Here is a 6,322-nt window from a genome sequence, read left to right as displayed (position 1 = left end):
TGGAATTTCTTTATTTTAAAGTGAATTGAAATCATGTCATTCTTCACCTCAAAGCCTACAAAGGCTCCTTATCTTGCTCAGAATAAAATTTAAAACTCTTTATCATGACCTAGAAAGCACTATGTGACCAAATTTCTCTGCTTCACTGAGCTTCTCTTCCAAAACACACCTCCATTCACGCTTATTTTTCTTTTAAGGATTGGCAAGTTTTGGAGCCTTGGAACTCGTAATTCAACCGAAAACTTTTCCTCAGCTATCTCTCTGGTATAATTTTTCTCTTCCTTGAAGCAATTGCTCAAATGTCACCTTAACAGAGAGGCTTCCCTAAATACCTTAAGTAAATTAGTACCCCACTGTCACTCCCTTTTCCTCCATTCTGCTTCTGTGCATTAAAAATTTGTTTTGTTTTTTGTATGGAATATTTCATAAATTTGCATATTATTCTTGCACAGCAGCCATGCTAATCTTCTCTGTATCGTTCTAATTTTAATATATGTGCTGCTGAAGAAAGCACTGCTTCTATGCATCTTTAAAGCACATATATTATATATGATGTATTTTTTATTTATTTGTTGCATCTTTCCACTAGAACACTAGCATGCAATCTATATAAGAACAAGAACTCTTTTTTTTACTTCCTTATTCCTATCTAGGAAATATCTTGTCACAAAATAAACCTGCTGTATATATTTTCTGAATAAATAGAAAATAAGTCATTGGGTCTACATAGTCTGTATTGACAATATTTGTTTTATGAATTACACACTATATTATGCATTGCCATATGTGCCTAGACCTCTAAATTCTACAGCCTACAGCACTGATTCCCCAACAGATATGTCACAGAATACTATTTGGTGACATATTTATAAGTATTCCATAAAAAATTAATTGAAAAACCCTTTGGGCTGGGTGTGGTGGCTCACGCCTGTAATCCCAGCACTTTGGGAGGCTGAGGCAGGTGGATGGCTTGAGCTCAGGAGTTTGAGACCGGCAGGCAAAATGGTGAAACCTGTCTCTATCAAAAATACAAAAATTAGCTGAGTGTGGTAGTGGGTGCCTGTAATCCTAACTATTATGATGGCTGAGGCATGAGAAACGCTTGAACTCAGGAGGTGGAGGTTGTAGTGAGCCGAGGTCACATCTCTGCATTCCAGCCTGGGTGACAAAGCAAGACCCTGTCTCAAAAAAAAAAAAAAAAGAAAAGAAAAACCCTTTATATCTCTGCATCCTACTTTGAAGATTTATGATGCATATTGTCATGTAAAAAAATATTCTGAAACTCCTACAAAAATAAATCTACTTAAATTTGCTTAAGACAAGGGAGTGATGTCAGCAAAATAGCAGAGTAGGAGATACCATCCCTCATCCCCCCCCTCAACCTACACACAAAAACACACACAACTGGACAGATATCGAACACTGAAGAGAGCGTTGGGAGGGTTGAAGGTTTCAATCAAGAACCTGAAGCAACACAGTGGAGTAAAAAAAAAAAAAAAAGGAGAATAATCACAAACAGAAAAGGTCACTGAGGAGACTGGCATACCCAAGACATCTGGAGATGGCTAGGAAAAAAGAAGAAAGCAGGGGCTATCAGTATCAGACACATGGTGGACGTCAATGCAGTCCTTTGCGGAGGATGCTGGTAGCTTTCACCACTGAGGCAACACACAGACATTGTCCCCATGCAAATGCCCTGAATAGGAAGACACTGCTGTGCCCTTAATCCCAAAATGGAGCCACTCTTGTGCCATCGCTGGACTAGGGCCAAAACCCATTCCTGTGGGGACCCCAGACCCTGAAGCTGCAGCTACTCCATGCCTATGCTGTAGACCTCAACTCCATGGCCACATCATGTACACCCACACTTCAGACATGGGAGCCACCATCACTGAAGGCTGACTCCACAACACACCCTGAGCCATGACCAGTCTGAGCACATCCATGTGACCCAGGCTCTGCCACCACCCCATGAATGCCCATATTTGGGCATCTAAGCCACTGCCATAGTAAGTCAGCCCACATCCTGGAGTGGAGCAACTATCACTTTGTAGATTTCTGTACTCCAGACCCTGACTCCATGGCCACACTATGTGTACCTATGCCTCAGTCACCAGACCCACCACTGCTGCAGGCTAGCCCCACTCCTGGCCTTGAAGCTATAGTCACTCTTCACACACCTAAGCTTTGGACCCTGGCTCCATCATAACTTTATGAGTGCCATGCCTCAGACATCAAAGCCACTGCCGCAGCAAATTAGCCCACATGTCAGCTCCTGGAGTCACTGTGGCTCTCAGGCCACTCCACCAGCACCTGCACTGCAAACACCAGAGCCAATGCTGCAGCAGGTGTGCCCATGCCCCAGTCTGAGTTTGACAGAGCTGCACAGAGACTACACTGCTGTGCCCTCACCAAAGCAGGAAGGGCAACATCCCACCCAGCCAGTGTTTTTGCACTCACTCATAGTTGAAAGTTTTCCCCCTCTAAAACCAGTCTATAAAGTCTGTAACATGTAACTGTTTCATCAGATGCACAGACGTCAATGCACAGCAACAAGAAACATCAAAAACAAAGGAAACATGTTGCCAGCAAAAGAACACAATAAGCTCTGCAAGGCCTGCTGCCTCTGTAGATCCCAGCTCTGTGGGCAGGGCATAGCTGAACAAAAGGCAGCAGAAACTTCTGCAGACTTAAATATCCCTGTCTGACAGCTCTGAAGAGACCAGTGGTTCTCCCAGCACAGTGCTTGAGCTCTGAGAACAGACAGACTGCCTCCTCAAGTGGGTCCCTGACCCCTGAGTAGCCTGACTGGGAGATATCTCCCAGTAGGGGCTGACTGACACCTCATACGGGTGTGTGCCCCTCTGGGACGAAGCTTCCAGAGGAAGGATCAGACAGCAATATTTGCTGTTCTGCAATATTTGCTGTTCTGCAGCCTCTGCTGGTGATACCCAGGCAAACAGGGTCTGGAGTGAACCTCCAGCAAACACCAACAGACCTGCAGCTGAGGGATCTGACTCTTAGAACGAAAACTAACAAACAGAAAGGAATAGCATCAACATCAACAAAAAGGACATCCACACCAAAACTCCATCTGTAGGTCACCAACATCAAAGACCAAAGGTAGATAAAACCACAAAGATGGGGAGAAACCAGACCAGAAAAGCTGAAAATTCTAAAAACCAGAGTTCCTCTTCTCCTCCAAAGGATTGCAGCTCCACGCCAGCAATGGAACAAAGCTGGATGGAGAATGACTCTGACGAGCTGACAGAGTAGGCTTCAGAAGGTCAGTAATAACAAACTTCTCTGAGCTAAAGAGGATGTTCAAACCCATTGCAAAGAAGCTAAAAACTTTGAAAAAAGATAAGAAAAATGGTTAACTAGAACAGTGTAAAGAAGACCTTATATGACCTGGTGGAGCTGAAAACCATGACACAAAAACTACGTAAGCATGCACAAGCTTCAATAGCCGATTTGATCAAGTGGAAGAAAGGGTATCAGTGATTGAAGATCAAATTAATGAAATAAAGTAAGAGGAGAAGTTTAGAGAAAAAAGAGTAAAAAGAAAGGAACAAAGCCTCCAAGAAATATGAGACTATGTGAAAAGACCAAATCTACATTTAATTGGTGTACCCAAAAGTGACGGGGAGAATGGAACCAAGTTGGAAAACACTCTTCAGGATATTATCCAGGAGAACTTCCCCAACCTAGCAAGCCAGGCCAACATTCAAATTCAGGAAATACAGAGAACACCACAAAGATACTCCTTGAGAAGAGCAATCCCAAGACACATAATTGTCAGATTCACCAAGGTTGAAACGAAGGAAAAAATGTTAAGGGCAGCCAGAGAGAAAGGTTGGGTTACCCATAAAGGGAAGCCCATCAGACTAACAGTGGATCTCAGCAGAAACCCAATAAGCTAGAAGAGAGTGGGGGCCCATATTCAAAATTCTTACAGAAAACAATTTTCAACCCAGAATTTCAAATCCAGCCAAACTAAACTTCATAAGTGAAGGAGAAATAAAATCCTTTACAGACAAACAAATGCTGAGAGATTTTGTCACCACCAGGCCTGCCTTATTAGAGCACCTGAAGGAAGCACTAAACATGGAAAGGAACAACCAGTACCAGGCACCGCAAAAACATGACAAATTGTAAAGACCATCAAGGCTAGGAAGAAACTTCATCAACTAACGGGCAAAATAACCATCTAACATCATAATGACAGGATCAAATTCACACATTAACAATATTAACCTTAAATGTAAATGGGCTAAATTCCCCTGTTAAAACACACAGACTGGCAAATTGTATATAGAGTCAAGACCCATCAGTGTGCTCTATTCAGGAGACCCATCTCATGTGCAGAGACACATATTGGCTCAAAATAAGGGGATGGAGGAAGATCTACCAGACAAAAGGAAAGCAAAAAAAAAAAAAAAAAGCAGGGGTTGCAATCCTAGTCTCTGATGAAACAGACTTAAAACCAACAAAGATTAAAAGAGACAAAGAAGGCCATCGCATAGTGGCAAAGGGATCAGTTCAACAAGAAGAGCTAAGTATCCTAAATATATATGCACCCAATACAGGAGCACCCAGATTCATAAAGCAAGTCCTTAGAGACCTACAAAGAGACTTAGACTCCCACATAATAATAATGGGAGACTTTAACACCCAACTGTCAACATTAGACAGATCAACGAGACAGAAAGTTAACAAGGATATCCAGGAATTGAACTCAGCTCTGCGCCAAGCAGACCTAATAGACATCTACAGAACTCTCCACCCCAAATCAACAGAATATACATTTTTTTCAGCACCACACCACACCTATTCCAAAATTGACCACATAGTTGGAAGTAAAGCTCTCCTCAGCAAATGTAAAATAACAGAAATTATAACAAACTGTCTCTCAGACCACAGTGCAATCAAACTAGAACTCAGGGTTAAGAAACTCACTCAAAACCGCTCAACTACATGGAAACTGAACAACCTGCTCCTGAATGAATACTGGGTACAAAATGAAATGAAGGCAGAAATAAAGATGTTCTTTGAAACCAATGAGAACAAAGACACAACATACCGGAATCTCTGGGACACATTCAAAGCAGTGATAAGTGTGATGAGCAGAAATAGGCTTCATTAGAGTAGAGTGACTATTAAAAATTATAACTTTCTAGGAGCTATAAATCAAAGCTTTAAAAAGATGTTTGGATATATTTGAGTATTCAGATCATGAAAATAGAAATTGCCCTGCCTACTGTAAGAAGAGACTGATGGGAAATTATACACCTGGTCAACTTAACCTTTAAACAGACAATGCTGTAAAAGCTAATGGTTTCTCTGATATTTATTTTAAGTTTTAGTACTGATCTCCTTTTCCAGTGCTGCACACTCCTGTGTTTGGAACTTTAACAGATTTGCAACAAAATCCTATATCCAGCTTCCTATAATTTAATTAAAGAAAAACACATCCAGATAAAGGCTTTGCTATGTTTTATTATTATTATACTTTAAGTTCTGGGGTATATGTGTAGAACATGGAGATTTGTTACATAGGTATTCATGTGTGAAATCTTTGTTATTAACAGAGCAGATAGCATCAGAAATCATGTGACTATTATGATTCTCAGAATATGTCTTAACTTTTAGGGCAAAGTTAACACTGAAAGCTCTAGCTTAAGTGTTGGCACCTTTGTGGGAAAAAAATCACTTTTGAAACTCAGACTTCAATAATTTAAAATTATTGAAGACAATAATTTAAAATTACGTGAAATGTTTTAAATTTGTGAACTCCTAATTACTGTCTTAATGATTCATTTTCTTGAGAGCGATAATTGTATAAAAAGCTATTGCAGCTTTATTTTCAATATGACATGCCTGTAAACCATGGAGTTTTCCCTGTTTGTAAATAGACATTGTAGATAATTGAATGTTTGATTTTAGAAAGGTCATTAGTTTCTTGTTACACATTTTGTTAGTCTGGTTTTTGTTGCTTATTGGGTTCTTGAAAATAGTTGATGCTGTGTTATGTATAACTTTTCTAATAAAAGTTGTGTTATAAGCTGTAAAAAAAATATTTTGGAGCAGAGGAAATGGAAACCACCTAGTAAGATGATAGATTTAGAACCATATATATGTCGAATTGTCACAAATGTAAATGGATTAAATTTTTAACCTAAAAGGTGATTGCCATATTGGATTTTTTAAAATTTAACTATATGCTACTTATTAAGAGCACATGTGGAATAAAAATGGTCAAAAATAGAAGATGGAAAAAAAAATTTTACAGCACTAACATAATGAAAGTTACTGTATCTAT

At 39.8% G+C, this 6,322-nt stretch overlaps 1 pseudogene; it reads right to left on the bottom strand.

Annotated features, from left to right (window-relative positions):
- Nucleotides 408-514, bottom strand: RNU6-275P (RNA, U6 small nuclear 275, pseudogene; annotated as a pseudogene).

The sequence above is a fragment of the Homo sapiens genome, chromosome 12 (assembly GCF_000001405.40).
Source record: "Homo sapiens chromosome 12, GRCh38.p14 Primary Assembly".
Lineage (NCBI taxonomy): Eukaryota > Metazoa > Chordata > Mammalia > Primates > Hominidae > Homo > Homo sapiens.
The sequence above is the reverse complement of the archived record's forward strand: the minus strand, read 5'-3'. Positions and strand labels throughout refer to the sequence as shown.